This window comes from Homo sapiens, chromosome 2 (genome assembly GCF_000001405.40).
Source record: "Homo sapiens chromosome 2, GRCh38.p14 Primary Assembly".
Lineage (NCBI taxonomy): Eukaryota > Metazoa > Chordata > Mammalia > Primates > Hominidae > Homo > Homo sapiens.
Window position 1 is genome coordinate 230,290,945 of NC_000002.12, and position 21,234 is coordinate 230,312,178.

Below are 21,234 nucleotides of genomic sequence, written 5' to 3' on the forward strand. Positions count from 1 at the left end.
ACAGAATTTGGGATCAGAAAGCCTGAGTTCCAGCCTTTGCTGTTTCAGGAGTGACTGTTCCATTCTGAGTAGAGAAGGGAACCTTTCTGAACCTGAAATGTCTCATCCAAGAGAGGGAACAATAATGAAAAACCTGCCTCATGATGTAGCTGTGAGAATTAATTTGCATATTGATGTAAAATATGTAAATTTACATGTTTTTACTGTAAATTATAAAACTTTGCCAAAAAATGTCTATTAGAATGGCCATCATCTCAGACCAATCTTAATATGACTCTTTGGATGTCAATTAACAGAAATGTTTGCATTGTGACTATTTCTAAACAGCTTTACTGAGATATAGTTCACATATCATACAACTCACCACTTAGAGTGTACAAATCAACTTTTTTTTGTATAGTCACAGAATTGTACAGCCATCATTATCCTCTAATTTTGGAACAATTTGTTCCCCACTGAAAGAAAAGCCCATGTCAATTAGCAGTCAGTGCCTATTCCCACCTAAGCAGCCACTAATCTATTTTCTGCTCTATAAGTTTGCCTACTGTAGGCTTTCTAGAAGTGGAATCCTATAATACATGCCCTTTCCTGACTGCCTTCATTCACTAATTGTGATATTTTCAAAGTTCATCCACAATGAATGTATTAGTATTTCATTTCTTTTATTGACAAATAATATATGTCATTGTATAGATATACCACACTTTGTTTATAAACTCATCATTTGGAACTATTTCCACTCTTTGGCTATTATAAATAATGCTGTTCTGAACATTTGTGTAACAAGTTTTGTGTGAACATATTTCAGTTCTTTTGGGTATATAGTCAAGAGAGGAATGACTACATCGTATGGTAATTCTATGTTTAATTTATTGAGGAATCACCAAAGTGTTTCCACAGTGGCTGCACTATTCTGTATTCCTACCAGCAATGTATGAAGGCTCCAATTTCTCTACATGCTCACCAACTTTGTTATCGTCTGTCTGTCTTTTTTTATTACAGTCATACTGTCATCCTAGTGGGTATGACATGGTATCTCATTTTGGTTTTGGTTTGTGTTTCCTTAATGGCTAATGGTGTTGAGCATGTGACTATCTTTTACATATAAATTAAATTTTTTATCAGATAACATTTCACAATTAGTTTTTTAATATCAGCTACCTGTGATTGCAGGGATATGAAAATTTCTGTTTAATAATGCCACTAGACTGCATAAAACATGTTATAATTGAGAGTGCAGATGTTGCGGGAGTGACCCCCTGAGCCACAGGGCACCCATCTGAGACCGTAGCCCCAAGTTGAGGATTCTGCCTCCAACATTGCCCTCACAGCCATCTGGAGACTCAGGCCTGGCCTCTACTTCCAAATTTGAATAGCAAGTTGGAGTCCTCTCATCTTTCAGAATCACTTGCTTTTCCTTCTGTAAGTGCTTTTGAAATGCTTAAAAGGTTGCTCTTGATGATAACCATCACTCTCCTCATGGATGAAGGTCAAAGAAATGTGCACCCCCACCAGGAAATATCCTTAGAGGGGATTTTCAGGCTGGATTTGGGGCCTCTGTAGTCTGAGAGGGAAGGCCAGACTCTCCTGCTATTGATCTGCATCACAAATTGGGTGGCTCTAGATCCAGTGTGGTGAGTGGCCATAGTCTGTGCGCTGGGAAAAAAGAGGGCTCAGGATCAAGTTACCCTGGTCTTACAGGAATCTTGGTGAAGTGTATACAGACTGAGGATGGAAAATGGTTCACCCCCACGGAATTTGAAATCAAAGGAGGCCATGCAAGATCAAAGAACTGGAGGCTGAGTGTGCGCTGTGGCGGGTGGCCCCTACGATGGCTGATGGAGGTATTCCAATGACAAGGGGCCAGGCCTGTGTTCCTTCTTGTTCCCTAATAATGAGGAGACTGTTTATTCACCAAATATTTGTTAGGTTATAGCTAAAGCCTTGATGCCAGTGGGTTTATCCTCTCACTCAGGAGAGAGGGACCCCACATTCATAACCACACTACAGTGCAACACATTGACGTTGTACCAGGGGCTCCGTCAGGATAGACTCAGCAGCTTGGAGGAGGAAAGGGTCATTCTGACTAGGGTGCATGCAGACAGCTTTGTGCACTGAAAGAAAGAAGGGAGTTGACAGTCAAGCAGTGGAAGAAGACACTTCAGAGAAAGAATGGCATAAAAGCCAGAATGCCATGAAAACCAGAACCATGGCAAAAGTAGCTCTGTGGATTTAGGTAGCACAGGTTGTGTGCAATTAGGTATAATTTAACAATTGGGGCAGGTTGTGCAGGGCTTTAATGCCAGGCTAAGGAGTTTAAACCTGTAATTGAGATAACAAGGATTCAGTGAAATCTTCTAGGATTGGAAATGACATTTAAAACAATATTTTATTTTATTTATTTATTTTTAGGAGACAGTCTCACTCTGTTGCCCAAGCAGGAGTGCAGTGGCTCAATCTCGGCTCACTGCAACCTCCACCTCCCAGATTCAAGTGATTCTTGTGCCTCAGCCTCTCGAGTAGCTGGAACTACGGTTGTGCACCACCATGCCAGGCTAATTTTTGTATTTTTAGTAGAAATGGGGTTTTGTCACGTTGGCCAGGCTGATCTCGAATTCCTGGCGTCAAGCGGGAGGCCTCCTCGGCCTCCCAAAATGCTGGGGTTACAGGCGACAGCCACCCCGCCCCGCCATAAAACAGTATTTTAGACAGCCACGGGGCTTTCCCCCTAGCAAACCTATACTCAATCTAGAATGCTCAGTTCAAGTGTTACCCCTTCCTGAATGTTCATTGATTGACCTGTCATGGGCCATTGACCAGGCCTTCCCAGGGCTCCTGAGCCCTCTACTAAGGCCTTTCATTCACTGTTTTATATTTATTATTTTGTGAGTGCTTTTTGTCCGTAGACTCCTTTAGGTTGTCCCATCTTCATGTGCCCAAGATTGATCAGAATTACTGATACCCAGTAGCAGGCAATGTGTGTGCTGCTTGGATAGCTCTGGTGTAAGGACTCCAGCTGGAGTGGCACTGGTGGGACTGGAAGAGAGGTGATAGGTGGTATGAGATTGTGAAGGAAAACCTCTTAGGACTTAGGAAAGAAGCACAAGAGAAGGGAAAATGGTCCTGAAGATGCTTTTCTGGCTTCTATTGATTGAAGTCTAGAAGAAGCACAGGTGAAGACAGGGAGATGGTTTCTCATTAGACACCTTGGATTTGAGCTGGCAGTGGAACACTCAGGTAGAAATATTTGGGAGGAGGTTGGAAATGCCAGACTCACAAAACGGAAACACAGGCTGACCATATACCTGAATCTTTTTGTCTTTCAGAATGGATTTCTGCCTGATCCTCCAAGAATACGTTACAGGAAAAAAAAGGTGATTATTACATAGCTTTATACAGCTTCTTGTCACATAACTGATTTAGCATGCACAAAATCTTATTTTATGGGGTCTGAAATTGGGTAGGAATAATTAAGCTTTCACCTTCTTCACTACTCACCTTAAAATACTTTTTGCATGTATTCCTTCAGAGTCGCTAATTTGAACACTAAATGTATATAAAGCTAGGTCCTGTTTGGATTCAACCATTTCATATGAAGATGATAAGGAGCCATCAGAATATACGTCCTGGGAGTGTTTTAGCAATAGATGCAGATGTCTTAAGAGTGTCCAAGTTGGAAAGTCAAGCATGGTCATGGGATACATAAAAATATTTCATAGTAAGGTGAGAGGATCACCTTCAACTCAAAATTCAGATTTTTTTCATTGAAGTTACTATTTTCTAACTTTAGTGAAATAGGATGGAGCAGATATTTGCTCACATCCATTTGAGACATGCATGAAACCATATATCATTTAATGAAATCGGCAACAAAAAGAATATTTCTTTTCTGATCCTTCACATTCTCTTTCACCTTCCAAAAAAATGTACACACAGACACACAGAATGTCTTCTCAAGGTGAAATTATTTCCTGTTACCACAATGGTGCCACTGAGGAGGAAGATCTCCAGAGGCAAATGTATTTTATAGGAGGGGCTGACCAGGAAAATCTTTTATGTTGATGCCACCTCTTTGGCTCTACCAGAGGGACTGTGCAGACCTGCTTTTTATCTGTGAAAGTGATTTTTCCCTCTCTTGAAGAATGCAACAAACAAATAGGTTAAGTGCAGTGTATATTCAGGACAAGGTGATGGTTTTTCCAAGACTGGGTATGAATGAGAACCTGAGGAGGGGGAAGAGAAAAATGTCATCCTTATGCACTTCAGGTAGAAATACGCATTCAAGACATTCACAGACTTCTAAAACAGCTCACACATAGCTAGCCACTAAGCTTCATATTCCACTGGGAACCTGAGATGCAGGCCTTTACATTATCTGATATACTGGCTGATTTGAATTTTCAGCCACTGAGACATTTCATCCACTGGGTTTCCCGAAGGGAAACTATGATGTCACCTATTCAGTGACTACACTAAAGACCAGCATCTCTACCTTTCACCGGGTGCCAAGAGTAACTGAGTCTGGATGACCCAAATGAGCTGGCAATTTCCGACTAACCGACTCTCCCTCTATTCTGGGGTGCAAAACTTAGCAGCGACAAGGTGCAGTTGCCTCTATATGTTGTGTCTCCTCATGGGGGAGAACAGAAGGTCCCTTAAGTGGCAGATCCAGGATCCATTATGAACTCCATGGGTCCTCTGTGCCTCTCAGAGCTTCTCTTACTTGCAGAGCCATTTGGCTTTAGGAAATTTCAGTGTCACTATGAGTGCCACATGATAGCATCTCTGCTCATGACAAGGGCCACATAGACCTTTTGGTGGCACCTGAGATATTGTAAAGCAATCTGATATACTCACCCAGAATAATTGTTGTATGCTAATGTTTGCTTAAGAGCCTCCAGTGATTTCTAAGTGAATCAACATTCATTTATTCACCCACTCAACATATAATTATCAAGCACACACTAAATGCCAATGGACATTACAGAAGATTGACCTCAAAAATTATTTCAGGCCAAACATGGTCACTTGAGCCTATAATGCCAGCATTTTGAGAGGCTGAGATGGGAGAATCATTGGAGCCCAGGAATTTGAGACCAACCTGAGCAACATAGTGAGATACCATCTCTACCAAAAAAAAAAAAAAATTACCCAGACATTGTGGTGTACACCTGTAGTCCCACCTACTCAGGAGACTGAGGTGGGAAGATCACTTGAGCCTGAAAGGTCAAAGCTGTACTGGGCTGTGATTTCATCATAGCACTCCAGCCTAGGTGACTGAGTGAGACTCTGTCTCAAAAAATAAAAAAAGTTTTAAATTTATTGTCAACATGGATGAATTACAAATGGGGTGGGGTGGGAGATTCTAGACCAGTTGGAGAGGCATTCAGTGACAAGGTCATCTCTCAGGTGCTTGTCCTTTGAATCACACTTGTTTATGGCCTCTGTGCCCTGGGCTACAGACAAAAGCTGAGGCTGCTTGTATCCCAGAAGGGAAGGATGCCAAGTCATGCCATGGATATCCAAAAGCAATCTAAATAAATGTAGTGGGTTACCTCTTAAAAGTCAGTCAACCTGGCATCTTCTTGTGATTTGGATAGAAGGGAGAGGGAGAGAGTTTCAGGAAAAAGAGCTGCAGCACAGAGGACCTTGGAGGCATTTTATCACCAGGGCTGTGTCCCTAGGGGAGCTGCAGAAAGCAGTGCTCTTCTTGTCTGGGACACTTGCATGGCCTCTAGGACTCTGAGTCCTGTGGTCCCAGGAGGCTGTGGGAGATAAGTCCTCAGCCTGATTATTATTGAGGCTCCTCTGGGTGGGATGACACAAAGGCCAAGTTTAGGAAATATGCCTGAGGGCCCCTTGAAGTAAGAGGACAAGTAGAGCTTCTCTGACTTGGCCTGTGCAAACTAGGTCCAGACTCCCTGCAGGGAATGGGACTTGCATTGGGATTAACGGTAGTACTTGCACACTTTTTATTCTTTCAGTAGATATATAGGTCCAAAAAATCAGATATGAGGTAAAGGGAAGACTGTTTACAAAAATAAAACTTTAGACAAAATAAAATTTATAGCATTTATTTGAGCAAAGAGCAATTCATGAATTGGGCAGCACTCAGAACAAGGAGAGGTTCAGAGAACTCTGCTGTAGCAGCCCAGACAGTGAGGCCAACACAGGAGTAAGACAGAGAAACTATATTTAATGGGTTATCATAGAAAGATGATAATTAGAGGTTAGATGGCAGATTCTAGTTGGTAAAATCTCTAGTTTCATTTTACTGTTTACATCAGGTTTCAGTTTGCTTACTTAGAAACTTAAACCACTGGAGCCACCCCAGCCTACTGGCCTTCTCTCTTCCCAATTATTTTTTAACAACTGGTTCCTGAATCCCTTCAAAGAATACTATTTAAATTTAAATAAGTGATAGATGGAAACAATGCATTCAATATCATAAATCAATCTTTCTGTTTTTTCAACAGAGAATACTGAAGTCTCAAAACAATAGCTCAGTTGACCCTTGTGTAAGTACAAATTCTGAACTACGACCCCCAGAATATTCCACTCCTTTCTCCAGGCATATGTTCTGTGTCATGACTGCTGTTGCCTGAATCATGTTCAGTCTCAGCTGGAGTATGTGGCTGTGTGAATTCAGTTGCATCACCCAAGCCAGGTAGATGTGCCTGGGCCTTGGATGTCTCATTATGAAAGCACCCTTTCCATCTGTTTCAGTAGAAACCTTCCAATGTCCTTATTTCCCCTGGAAAGTGAGTATGGGAGGCTGAGCTCCAGACCACTGAGGTCTCTTGAGACAGAGCCTGAAGTGGTAATGGGTAGGGCTGGCCTGGTGATTAGGGGGAAGGAACAAATGTGAGAGGATAACAGCATTTTCAAGTAAGTGGTGTGGATGAAAGGGAAAGTCCTAAAAATGCACTCCAAGGTGCAGGTAGAGTTGAAGATGGTCATAAGCATCAGCCAGAAGGAACAGACCAGGCCAAGCTATTATGTTCCAGGTGTTGATCCTGTCATTAGCCCTGTAAAGGAGTACATACAAGGCAAGGGGTCCTTTACAGAGCTCATTTGGATGGTTTCAGGGAAGCCATTAGGGTGCTGAGCTGGTTAGGACTGAAACCATCACGACCTAGCAAATCCTGAGGCATTTTAACTCAACTGCTTATCTGGTGCTCAGTACTATGCAAACTTTCTGATGCCACAGGCCCCATCCATTCTCTGCTTGCTATATGACTGCCTGCTTTGGATTCTGCCAAAATCATGGATGAGTCCCTTCTCTAAATGAAATCGTGATTTGATTCTTTTCATTGCAGTGAGATGTCTGTTTTAGGCCGGGTCACCTTCTTGCACAACTCTGGGGGACAGCACTCACATAGAATATCATGCAATAGCACTGACACATGATACTTAACAGAGGAGGGATGCTCAAATAGTTTTATACACACCTTACCTCCAAAGCAGTCCTCCAATCAGATTTAGGTCTTTTCCACACTGATTTTGATGTCTGGCCAACTGAGGGACTTTTCAATAATTAAAACAGCCCTGGAAGTCAGTGTTTGTGTGGCTGATTTTGGATGGACTAGGCATGGAGGTTTAGGTTTCACAGCTCACAGCCAGATATGTGTGGGGAGAAGAGGGAAACAGTTCCAGCAAAGGTATGGTCACCCCTGTTAATAATTTTTCCAAGGCCAGTAACAACATTGACTTATAATATCCCCATGCGTCCATAACCAGACTTTGCTTAGGTTGAATCTCATATTGTCCTGCAGCCTGGAATCACTTGAAGAGCTTTAAAAAAATATTGTTTCCTGGATCCCACTTCTGGGGAAATTATAATTTAATCATTCTGGACTATGTATGACTGGAACATTAGGATTTGTTTAAGATCCCCAGATGTACTAATTCTGATACATAGAATTGCCTATTCTGTCACCTAAAGAAGAATACCAGTGCCTGTGCCTCAACCCTGACCCAGTGATTCAGAATCTCTGGTGTTGGGTTCAGGACATTAGCATTTTATATACTCTCCTGAGAGGAGTCTAATGTACAGCCAGGCCAACAACCAAAGAACCAGAGAAATCAAATCTCTTCTTGAAAAGATGGGTTTGGAGAACAAAATGGCAGATAGGAGGCAGGACTAACTTGCTCCTCCTACTCAGATGGACAGAACAGCGTGTTGAGACTCACACTGTGAACTTTTGCTCCAAGAACCACTGCAGGAATATACCAGCAAAACTGAAGGAAGTCACACACCCTTTAAAAGAAGTGGCTTGCCACCGCAAACTCTGGGAGATAGCCAAAAAACCGTGAGTCCTCAAAGTGTGAGAGGGAAAAAGTCCACCTCTGAACACATATCCTCACTGGGGAACCTGGAAATCCAGATCACAGGAGAAGGATTTCACCTAACCTAGAGCTGAAATGAATTTAGAAAGCTGGGTGAAATATAAAAGTAGAATAAGCAGCAGGAAGAGGTGCCTTCCCCAAGGATCCCTATAAGCATTTCAGTCCCCAGGGAAGCCATTTCTGACTTTATCTCACAGTCCTTGGGGAGGGCAGCCAGTACAATTTGCAGAGAGCCATGGGGAGAAGGAGGCTTCCAGCTGAACTTTGTAATAATTTTAACCAAGCACAAATTTTCCTGGTCAGAATCTGGGGGTGTGAACCTGAAGTACAGATATAAGTGCAGAAGCCATGGCAGGCAGGGAGGGGTGAGATCTGAAAGCCCTGCTTGCTTTCTCAATGGGGGTGCTTCTTCCTGGGGCAAGATCTTAGCTCCAGGCAAAGGATGCCTGGATATAAATTTGGCTCTGTTGGCTGTTGGGCACCACAGCGGGAGTGAGACTGGCCTTGCTGGCTGCCTGGGTGCTGGGTGAAGCCTGTCACTGCCGGCTTCCCTTACTTATCTGGTGAACTGTATGAAGCAGCAGAGGCAGGCATAATCCCCTCTGGAACATAAATCCATTGGCCTGCAAGCCACCCCTCATCCCCCACAGTGGCCACAGCAAGCCCTGTCTGAGAATCTGAGCTCAGACACACCTAACCCTGCCCCCAGCTGATGGTCTTTCTCTACCTGCCCCTGTAGCTGAAGACAAAAGACAGGGGCTCATGGGAGCTCTATGACCTCACCCATCACCTGAGAAAACCGAATACTTATCCAGTGAACTTAGGTCAAGCTTGTATCCCCCTCATATTACTTGCAGCTGATGGTCTCTTGAAAGTGCCACCTCCTCGCCGAAGGTCAGCCAACTCAAGTCATTACAGACACTCATACGAGAACCACCTTGCTCCAGGAAGGAGAAAACAACAACTAATTATACTGCCTGTAACATCCTGGCTAACCAAAGATCCTGAGTCTGTCCCTGTAACAACCTCACTGCTAGCATAACCAACATTTGAGAAAACCAGTGTACTAAACAAAACTACAATCAAGGACTCTCACAGAATCCACTTCACTCCCCTGCTACCTCCACTGGAGCACGTGCTGGTACCCATGACTGGGAGAACTGAAGACAGATCACATCACAGGACCCTTTGCAGATACTCCCCAGTACCAGCCCAGAACCCAGTAGCTCTTCTGGGTGGCTAGACCCAGAAGAGCAATAACAATCACAGCAGTTTGGCTCTCGGGAAGCCCATCCCTAGGGGAAGGGGGAGAACACCACATTAAGGGATCACCCTGTGGAACAAGAGAATCTGAACAGCAGCTCTTGAGTTTCAGATCTTTCCTCTAACGTAGTCTACCCAAGTGAGAAGGAACCAGAAAAACAATTCTGATAATGACAAAACAAAGTTCTATAACACCCCCAAAAGATCACGTTAGCTCACCAGCAATGGATCCAAACCAAGAAGAAATCTCTGAATTGCCAGAAAAAGAATTCAGAAGGTCAATTATTCAGCTACTCAAGGAGACACCAGATAAAGGTGTAAACCAACTTAAAGGAATTAAAATAATAATACAGGATATGGATGAAAAAGTCTCCAGAGAAATAGATATCATAAATAAAAATCAATCACAACTTCTGGAAGTGAAAGACATACTTAGAGAAATACAAAATACACTGGCAAGTTTCAACAATAGACTAGAACAAGTAGAAGAATGAACTACAGAACTCGAAGACAAGGCTCTGGAATTAACCCAATCCAACAAGAAAAAAGAACTTTTTAAAAATGAACAAAGCCTCCACGAAGTTTAGGATTATGATAAATGACCAAACCTAAGAATAATTTGTGTTCCTCAGCAAGAAATCTAAAAGTTTGGAAAACATATTCGCGGGAATAATCAAAGAAAATGTTGCTGGCCTTTCTAGAGATTTAGACATCCAAATACAAGAAGCTCAAAGAACATCTGGAAAATTCATCACAAAAAGATAATCACTCAGGCAGAGTCATCAGGTTATCTAAAGTTAAGATGAAGGAAAGAATCTATGAAGCAAAAACATCAGCTAAACTACAAAGGAAAACTTATCTAATGATTAACAGCAGACTTCTCAGCAGAAACCCTACAAGCTAGAAGGCTTTGGGATCCTATCTTTAGCCTCCTTAAACAAAATAATTATCAGCCAAGAATTTTGTATCCAAGAAACTAAGCTTCATAAATGAAGGAAAGATAAAGTCTTTTTCAGACAAACAAATGCTGAGAGAATTCACCACTACCAAGCCAGTGCTACAAGAACTGCTAAAAGGAGTTCTAAATCTTAAAACAATATATCAAAATATACCAAAATAGAACCCCCTAAAGCATAAATATCACAGGCCTATTAAAAAATAACACAATGAAAAAAATAAGGTATTCAGGCAACAGCTAGCATGATGAATAGAATAGTACCTCACATCTCAATACTAATGTTGAATGTAAATGACCTAAATTCTTCACTTAAAAGATACAGAATGGCAGAATGGATAGGAATTTACCAGGCACCTGCTGTCTTCAAGAGACTCACCTAACACATAAGGACTCACATAAACTTAAGGTAAAGGGGTAGAAAAAGATATGCCATGCAAATGGACACCAAAAGCGAGCAGGAGTAGGTATTCTTACATCATACAAAACAGACTTTAAAGCAACAACAGTTAAAAAAGACAAAGAGCGACCTTATATAATGATAAAAGGACTAGTCCAACAGGAAACTAGCACAATCCTAAATATGCACCTAACTGTGGAGTTCCCAAATTTACAAAACAATTACTCACTTTGGGAGGCCGAGGTGGGTGGATCACAAGGTCAGGAGATCAAGACCATCCTGGCTAATGCAGTGAAACCCCATCTCTACTAAAAATACAAAAAAAAAAAAAAATTAGCTGGGCGTGGTGGCAGGCACCTGTACTCCCAGCTACTCAGGAAGCTGAGGCAGGAGAATGGCATGAACCCAGGAGGCAGAGCTTGCACTGAGCCAAGATTGCACCACTGTACTCCAGCCTGGGCAACAGAGTGAGACTCCATCTCAGAAACAAAAACAAAAACAATTTCTACTAGACCTAAGAAATGAGATAGATGGCAACAGAATGATACTGGGGGACTTCAGTACTCTGCTGACAGCACTAGACAGGTCATCAAGACAGAAAGTCAACCAAGAAACAATGGACTTAAACTGTACACTAGAACAAATGGACTTAACAGATATTACAGAACATTCTACCCAACAACTGCAGAACATACATTCTTTTCATCAGTACCTGGAACATTCTCCAAGATAGACCATATCATAGGCCACATAACAAGTCTCAACAAATTTAAGAAAATTGAAATTATAGCAAGTACTCTCTCAGACCACAGTGGAATAAAATTGGAAATCAGCTCCAAAAGGAACCCTCAAAACCAGGCACGTACATGGAAATTAAATAATCTTCTCCTGAATGATCATTGGGTCCACAATGAAATCAAGATGGAAATGAAAAAATCCTTTGAACTGAACGACAATAATGACACAAGCTATCAAAACCTCTGGGATACAGGAAAAGCAATGCTAAGAGGAAAATTCATAGCATTGAATGCCTACATCAAAAAGTCTGAAAGAGCACAAATAGACAATCTAAGTTCACACCTGAAGGAACTAGAGAAAGAAGAACAAACCAAACCCAAACCCAGCAGAAGAAAAGAAATAACAAAGATCAGAGAAGAACTAAATGAAATTGAAACAAAAAAAATACAAAAGATATATGAAACAAAAAGCTGGTTATTTGAAAAGATAAACAAAATTGATACACTATTAGCAAGATTAACCAAGAAAAGACTAGAGAAGATCCAAATAAGCCCAATTAGAAACAAAATGGGAGATATTACAACCAACACCACAGAAATACAGAAGATCACTTAAGTCTACTATGAACACCTTTATGCACACAAACTAGAAAACCTAGAGGGGATGGATAAATTCCTGGAAATATACAACCCTCCTAGATTAAAGCAGGCAGAAATAGAAATTCTGAAGAGACCAGTAACAAGCAGTGAGATTGAAATGGTAATTAAAAAATTGCCAATACTAGAAAGGCCAAGACCAGATGGATTGATTCACAGCTGAATTCTATCAGACATTCAAAGAAGAATTGGTATCAATCCTACTGAAACCATTCCAAAACATAGAGAAAGAGGGCATCCTCCCTAAATCATTCTATGAAGCCAGTATCACCCTAATACCAAAACCAGGAAAGGGCATAGCTCATGTCAACAAATGTGATATACCACATAATCAGAATTAAAAACAAAAATTGTATGATCATCTCAATAAAGACAGCAAAAGCATTTGACAAAATCCAGCACCTTTTATAATTAAAACCCTCCACAAAATTGGCATAGAGGGGACATACCTTAAGGTAATAAAAGCCATCTATGACAAACCCATAGCCAACATAATACTGAAATGGCAAAAGTTGAAAGCATTCCCTCTGAGACCTGGAACAAGACAAGGATGCCCACTTTCACCACTTCTATTCTACATGATACTAGAAGTCCTAGGCAGAGCAATCAGACAAGAGAAGGAAATAAAGGGCATCCAAATCAGTAAAGAGGAAGTCAAACTGTTGCTGGTCGCCAATATGATCGTATACCTAGAAAACCCTAAGGACTCATCCAAAAACCTCCTAGATATGATAAATGAATTCAGTAAAGCTTCAGGATACAAAATCAATATATACAAATCAATAGCACTGTTATATACTAACAGAGACAAAGCTGAGAATCAAATCAAGAACTCAACCCCTTTTACACTAGCTGCAAAAAAATAAAATACTTAGGAATGTACCTAACCACAGAGATGAAATACCTCTACAAGGAAAACTACAAAACACTGCTGAAAGAAATCACAGATGACACAAACAAATGGAAACATGTCCTATGCTCGTGGATGGGTAGAATCAATATTGTGAAAATGATCATATGGCCAATAGCAATCTGGAAAGTCAATGCAATTCCCATCAAAATACCATGATCATTTTTCACAGAACTAGAAAAAACAATTCTAAAATTCATACAGAACCAAAAAAGAGCTCATGTAGCCAAAGCAAGACTAAGCACAAAGAAAAAACTTGGAGGCATCACATTACCTGACTTCAAACTATACTACAAGGCTATAGTCACCCAAACAACATAGTCCAGGTATGAGAATATACCAGTACACATAGACCAATGGAACAGAAGAAAGGACCCAGAAATAAAGCCAAATATTTGCAGCCAGCTAACCTTTGACAAAGCAAACAAAAGCATAAAGGGGGAAAGGACACCCCATTCAACCAATAGCACTGGCATAATTGGCAAGCCACATTTAGAAGAATGAAATTGAATCCTCATCTCTCACCTTATACAAAAATCAACTAAAGATGGATCAAAGACTTAAATCTAAGACCTGAAACCATATAAATTCTAGAAAATAACATTGGAAAAACTCTTCTAGGCATTGGCTTAGGCAAAGAGTTCAGGACCAAAAACGCAAAAGCAAATGCAAGAAAAACAAAGATAAATAGATGGGATTTAATTAAACTAAAAGGCTTCTATACAGCAAAAGAAATAACAGAATAAACAGACAACCCACAGAGTAGGAGAAAATATTTGCAAACTATGCATCCGACGGAGGACTAATATCCAGAATCTACAAGGAACTCAAAGCAATCAGCAAGAAAAAATCAAATAATCCCATCAAAAAGTGGGCTAAGGACATGAATAGACAATTCTCAAAAGAAGATATACAAATGGCCAACGAACATGAAAAAATGCTCAGCATCACTAATTATCAGGGAAATGCAAATCAAAACCGCAATGCGATACCACCTTACTCCTGCAAGAATGGCCATAACTTAAAGATCAAAAAATAATAGGTGTTGGCATGGATGTGGTGAAAATGGAACACTTTTACACTTCTGGTGGGAATGTAAACTAGTACAGCCACTACAGAAAACAGTACAGAGGTTCCTTAAAGAAGTATAAGTAGATCTACCATTTCATCCAGCAATCCCACTACTGACGGCAGCGGCAGGCAGTCTGAAGTGGCTGCTGCCATGAAGCTGGCTGCAGTGAGGTGCAGGCGCTGGCCGTGGGTCTTAGGGGGCAGACACAGAGGCAGGAGATCCCCAGAGCCAGTTGCCCTGGGAGCCTTCCTCTGGGAGCCGCTGCAATGGGGCTAGGCCCAGCTGCCCGTAGGGCGTGGTCAGGCAGGGAGGGGTGAGCAGAGAGAGGTCCCAAGATGGAGCTGGGCCAGTGGTGGTTCGGCACTTGCACACGTAGCGTGGGGGTCGGGCCCGAACGCGGAGCAGTGGCCACACTTCAGGGGCCGGGGTGGGAAGTGGGAGTGGCGCCCACTTCCAGGACCCAGCCAGCAATGCGGCCCCTGCACCCACCCTGCCCACAGCGCCAGGTTCCCGCCCCTCACAGGAGGCTGAACAAAGGGCCGCCAGAGGCCGTGTCCCTAGGATCTGCCCCGAGTTAGAGTGACTGCTGTGCCTGGTGCTTTCAGCAGCTGAGACTGGGGAGGCAATCCGGTCCTGGAGGTTTCCCCCAGGCAGGGTCACAAGCCAGGAGAGGGGGTGCCCCAAGCCATCCCTGAGCCTTGGGGCCACAGGAGGAACTTGAGCCAACATCACCCCTGCACCAGATGCTGGCCTGGGCCTGGCAAGGGCTGGAGCCACCAACCCAGGCTGCAAGGAGGCAGACAGGGCAGCAGGAACGGCCAGAGGAGCAGCAGTGGCAGCAGTGGGTCCCTGTGCCCTGTGTCCCTGAGGCAGGGACCCTCACCCTCACACAGCCGGCAGGACCTGCTCTCAGGCCCAGAGCCTCTATCACAGCCTGGACCTCTTTCCCCACTGCATCCTGGGAACCTGCAAGCACCTGGCCAAAGGTGCAGCCGAGACTCACAGAACTGGCCCCTGAGTGTCAGGTTCCTTTGTGTGAGGTTGGCTGGGGCACTGTGCCACCTGCACCTCATCCACAACTGCTGCAGGAGACACAGAGAGGGGGCATGGCTGAGGCCGCCCCACTCTGCAGAGCCAAGGACAAGCAGGAGCCCTGCCTCTCCCAAATTGGCAGGGCAGGAGCTCGCCATGCGCAACTGCAGGTGCCCAGGTTGCAGCTGTAGGCCTGGGCCTCCCAGTGCTCTTGGGGGCCCAGGAGGCTACCCTCCACCTGCCAGAACAGAAGCTTCTGCTGCCTGGCCATTCCCTGCTCCCAGCACCTGCTGCAATCTTGGAGCAGGGTTGGGGCTGAGCCCAGGTGCAGTTGCAGCCCTGTTGGGTGTGCACATGCTTGGGGCAGAGCTGACACACCAGGCCCCTGCTGCCTGCACCCCTCTGGATTTTGGGTGCTGACGATCATAGGAGAGAGGCCAAGAATGGGCTGGGGCCAGCTCAGCACTGGCCTGCAGGTGCCCCTTTGGGCAAGGGGCCTGGGCACCATGGGTGGTGGGGAAAGGCAGACAGGCTCCTGGGTGGGAAGGGGCAGGTCCCTGGTGAGGCACCACCTTCAGGCAAGAGAGGGCCTGAAGGCTGGGAACTGGGCTGCCAATCCTATGGACCAGAGTGGGAACTTGTAATGCCTTTCAAAGGCCTGCTCATGGTAACCCATGGACCAATCAGCATACACTTCCTCCCCTCTGAAGCCCATAAAAGCTCTGGACTCAGTCAGACTTGGAGAGAACATCCTGGACAACCAGCAGCAGAGAAGAGCTTCACACTCCAGGGACTACCTGCCAGCAGAGAGAAGCCACCCACCCTAGGACCTCCTCCTCTTTGCTGAGGGCTGAACACTCGTCAGGACACATTGGCTGCAGAAAGGAGCTACCCACAGTGGGTCTCTGAGCTGTTCTACTGCTCGGTAAAGCTCCTCTTCGTCTTGCTCACCCTCCATTTGTCAGCGTCCCTCATTCTTCCTGGTTGCAGGACAAAAGAACTTGGGATCTGCTGAATGGTGAGGCTAAAAGAGCTGTAACACAAACAGGGCTGAAACATGCCCCTTGATCACCGCATTGTGGGTGAAGAGAAGGAGAGAAGAGCTGCAGCCCTTTGGGGAGCCCAGACCTGGAAGCTCCCTGAGCCAGGGCTGTGACTCCCTTTTGGAGGCTCTGAGGTTCCTGGCATCTTCAAGCTTCTAGGTGCCAGCACATCCCCTGTTGCCAGCCATGGAAGCTGTTTGCAGTGTGCCTGGTCCAGACACAGCCTTGCAGAGAGCCAGTGCTCATGCCAGCACCTGGAGTTGCCTGCCCTTATGCAATAGCAGGCATGTCTGACTGTATGCAGTGGCTGGACCCCATGCTTGCTCACACGCCTCTCCCACTCCATGCCTGACCTGCCCCATGGCAGGCCCTTGGTAGGTATGCGATCCAGGCCAGTAGCCTGAGCCAAGTGCAGCCTGCCAGGCCAAGTGGGTGGAAGGAGCCCAGTGGGCCTGAGCAAAACTCAGGCAAAGGCACAACTGCTTACAGAGGTTTCTGGCAAGAAAAAGCAATACCCCAAGGATTCCGTAACACTACTGGGTGTCTACCTAGTGGAAAAAAAGTTATATGAAAAAGACACTTGGACATGCATGTATATATATATATATATATATATATATATATATATACACACACACACACACACACACACACAGAGACACACACACACACACACCATGGAATACTACTCAGGTATAAAAAGGAATGAAATAATGACATTCACAGCAACCTGGATGGAGTTGGAGACCATTATTCTAAGTGAAGTAACTCAGGAATGGAAAACCAAACAACGTGTGTTCTCACTTATAAGTTGGAGCTAAGCTATGAGGATGCAAAGGCATAAGAATGATACAATGGGCCTTGGGGACTGAGAGGGAAGGGTGGAGGAGGGTGAGGGATAAAAGACTACACATTGGGTACAGCGTACACTGCTCTTGTGATGAGTGCACCAAAATCTCAAAAGCCACCACTAAAAAAATTATCCATGTAACCAAAAACCACCTGTTCCCCCAAAACTATTGAAATAATAATTTTTTAAAAAGATTAAGGATTCGACATACTTAAACATTTGGTACTTCATTCCCTCCCTAGGGTTTTGGAGATGGTGGAACACACAGCATCTGACACTGGACAGATGAGATTGACAGCAGTGTATTAGTCACATTTACTCGGTAGCCCGGTGGGGGTGGGCAGGCATCCCACGCCACGCAGGGCCACATGGGGGCTGCGCTCAGGAACAGAGGAAACAGCCAGTGGCTGTGGAGGGCGGGCTGTCCCCTGCTTCCAGAGGGAGAGTGTGATTGGCTTGTTTGAATAATTCCATGGCTGGCAGGGAAATGAAATCAGCTATTCAAAAATACGCAGAAGGTGCAAGCGGTCCTCTTGATCAGAAGTGTTGGTAGGAAACCTTACCTGCAGCAGCAGAGCCGGCGGAGGACTTGTAGATAGACCATTCTAGGCCCTCCCAGTGTTACCAGATGTCCAGGCTGCACATAATATTGAACTCTAATTTTAGTCCTTACAGCACTTTTCACTTGAACGGCAAAGGGCTCAGTCACAGACTGGTTCTTTGTTGTAAATACACATGTATTTGTCTACAATACAGCATGTATGTATTGGTCTCTATATTTGCTCTATAAATTCTGTTGGTTTTTAATGACCGGGATTTGCTCCACAACACGTGGATGCAAATACCATCATATTTTAATTTCCCCAAATGAAATTAAATCTGGCTAAAGGTGTCACATATTGAGACTTGTAAGAAATGGAGAATTCGTTGATTTACCATTCCTTTTATAGAACAAAGCACCAGCTCTTTTATGGGCCCAGGAAATGAGGTGAGGGCCTCTGTCTTCAACACTGTATGGTGCTGTTACCATTGTCCTTGGTCATCAGAGATGGCACCTTCGCACCTTACAATCCAAGTTAGCTAAGTCAAGGGGGATGTATGCCAGGCTCCCAGAGCTGAAGAGCTCTGTGCTTCCTGGGGCCCACCTGGTCATCTCCACCCACGGTCCTTCCCCCTCAGAGGTCGGCGTAGAGCCCTCCAGGCACAAAACGTACAGTCTAGGAATCCCTAACTAGGCCCTCTCTTCAACTCATGGGGAACTTATGGCCAAGAATATGGGATGTGGTGATATCTCAGAAGCTTATTCCATCATATGTAATTAGCTAGGTCTCCTTTTCACTAGTTGATTTGTGGTATAGGCAAATTGATTTAACACTTCATTTCAAAACCTGGTTTTATCTGCAGAATAAGGAAATTATTCAGATTCCTATAAAATCATCATCTTGCTTTGTTGCTAGTCTTTCTTCATTACAATCTCTGGTTTCATAAGGAAGACTTTTCAATTCTGACCCATACCCCTTCCTCCTGAACTTCACTGCAGACCAGGATTTGTTCTGAAATCTCCATGCCATGTTTTTCCTTCATATCCCAGGGAGAAGCATTTGCCTGTCCATGCAGGTTCACACAAAGGCAGTGTGTTCTAGTTGCCCAGAGGGTTGGCCTTCCTGAATCTTGCGGTTCCCAGTGACGTGGACACTGTTTTATCTTCTAGATGAGAAACCTGGATGAGTGTGAGGTGTGCCGGGACGGAGGGGAGCTGTTCTGTTGCGACACTTGTTCAAGAGTCTTCCATGAGGACTGTCACATCCCGCCTGTGGAAGCTGAGAGGTAAGTGACATGCAGGCGTCTCTCTTTTTGTCCTTTAAGGGATCTTCCACCTGCCATGCGCACTCTCCAGCAGAGTGCCGGCTTGTGTCTAGATGGGGAAAGAGCAGGTTCATCGGGTACTGGGACCCAGCAGTGTGATCCAGAGAGCAGTGGGAGACGCTGGCAGCAGGAGGTTAATGTCCTCTGTGCTCTCAGGGACACCTCCTCTGATATGCTGAGGGCAGTGTTGGGGACCTTTGCCTACATACCGGCATTGTCCTTTCCTTGAAGTTTTGCAGCTGGGTGGGTTGGAGACAAGAAACACCAGTTGTTTATATTTTGTGCTTATTCATACAAGACAGGAAGCACGATCTCATTGGGCTGTTGGAGGCCCGAGGTCCCTGGGGCTGAAAACCCAGTTTCTGAAACTCAGGCCTGACAGACAGGGTTCCCTGTGCTCCCAGCAGCTCAGACAGAGAAAGGAGAGTCCACACTCACGGTGACACCACCTTCCTCAGACTTCCTGCCTGCTGCTACCACTGATGCGAGGGAAAGGCCAATGGCTGGAGACCCCATGTGTGAATCTTGCATACTTTGGGAGGTGTTCCCCTCCCTCCCATGACTGAGCCCATCAGCCATTCCTGAAGGAAGACAGTGGTAGCCACAGGAACGGTGGCCATTTCCAAGCTCCCTGCCCTCTGCTCACCCATGTCCAATCTCTCAGGACCCCGTGGAATTGCATCTTCTGCAGGATGAAGGAGTCTCCGGGAAGCCAACAGTGTTGTCAGGAATCTGAGGTCCTGGAGAGGCAGATGTGTCCTGAGGAACAGTTGGTAAATCAGATGCAAACCCCAAGCCTTCTCCTTTCCCCTCACACGTGAGAACCATGAACAAGCGCAAGGGCAGGGGAATGTACTGAAAGGAGCCTGCTCTTCCGCGCCACACTTCAATGGCACTGATAGAACACCACACCTTGTTTGCACAAAAAATAACTCAGCCATGACATGTCTGTTTCCAAGAGCCACACATGTTAGAGAAACTTGAGGAAGAAGGGTGTGAGTTCTGTGCTGTGTCTCATGCATGTGGGCTCATTCTCTCCAAGCTGCTTTTCATTTACGGCCTCTTTCTTTTGCAGAAATGTGAGTTCCTCCTCTTGAAAGTCTATTGCTGTTCTGAGAGCTCCTTTTTTGCCAAGATTCCATACTATTATTATGTAAGTAACAACAGCAACCCATGATTACAGGCTGCCATGACATTACCTGACCCTGAAATGGGCCCTCGTGAGATTTGTGATCTTAATCCCACGGGGCAAGAGCACACGCTGTCGTTAGTTGCCTTCACCTTGTTGTATTTCTGCTGGATTTTATGGGAATCCACAGAAGGTAGACACTGAACTATGCTGGTAGCTTTTCCATTGGTATATTTGTCACCAGATTAGAGAGGCGTGTCAAGGCCTGAAGGAGCCCATGTGGTTGGATAAAATCAAGAAAAGGCTGAATGAGCACGGTTACCCCCAAGTGGAGGGGTTTGTACAAGACATGCGCCTCATCTTCCAGAACCACAGGGCCTCTTACAAGGTAGGTGGCTCTTCCTGCTTCCATTTCATTTCTTTCCATCCTTCCCCTCATTTTCTGGTGCCAAGAAAAATTTAGTTTCCCTCATCCTGTAATAAGCTTGCACGAGCAAGGGTTCTGGAAGTGATTGATTGGTTTCAGTTCAGAACTTAAGCTCTTCTTAGCAAAGAAACAGTGAATCAAAAGGTGTCCCTGCAACCAGAACCCCAGGTCCCTGAGAGCTCCTCCCCCACCTGCCCCAGAGGAGACAGGAGCTCAGAGAGAGCAATTGAATCCTGCCTGCTGCAGCATATAAAGAGGAGAGAATTTCATCTTAAAGTGGTATTGTGCTTCTTATCTGCTCCCAATCCCAGAAATCCCAAACTCCAGATTCTTTGCATGTGAATAGACCATATCCCAACAAGGATTGCCAGCAAGGAGTAGAAGTGACAGAGAAAGGAACAGATCAGTGATCTTACCTTATACCCTTCCACTATCTGAATTGTTGAAAGAACCTAGATTGCTTTTCTAACCCACTGAAATAAGCAACCAAAGGCAAAGAAGTAATAATCCCAGCTGTGGAAATGATTTCACTTTTCTGCCCTGT

At 44.5% G+C, this 21,234-nt stretch overlaps 1 protein-coding gene across 37 annotated transcripts in view; it reads left to right on the forward strand.

Moving 5' to 3' along the window:
- The window catches only part of SP140 (SP140 nuclear body protein), a 130,421-nt gene that overhangs the window by 104,794 nt on the left and 4,393 nt on the right, over positions 1-21,234 (forward strand). For 30 of the 37 annotated variants that reach the window (XM_047443073.1, XM_011510517.4, XM_006712223.4 and 27 more), the window contains 7 exons: positions 1,702-1,844; positions 3,327-3,374; positions 6,477-6,518; positions 18,980-19,095; positions 19,799-19,907; positions 20,210-20,287; positions 20,508-20,651. In XM_047443073.1, coding sequence (XP_047299029.1) covers positions 1,702-1,844; positions 3,327-3,374; positions 6,477-6,518; positions 18,980-19,095; positions 19,799-19,907; positions 20,210-20,287; positions 20,508-20,651 — 680 coding nt within the window. Of the gene's footprint in view, positions 1-1,701; positions 1,845-3,326; positions 3,375-6,474; positions 6,519-18,979; positions 19,096-19,798; positions 19,908-20,209; positions 20,288-20,507; positions 20,652-21,234 lie in introns of those variants that run through there. The other 7 variants (XM_011510516.2, XM_047443078.1, XM_047443076.1 and 4 more) reach the window with 3 other exon arrangements.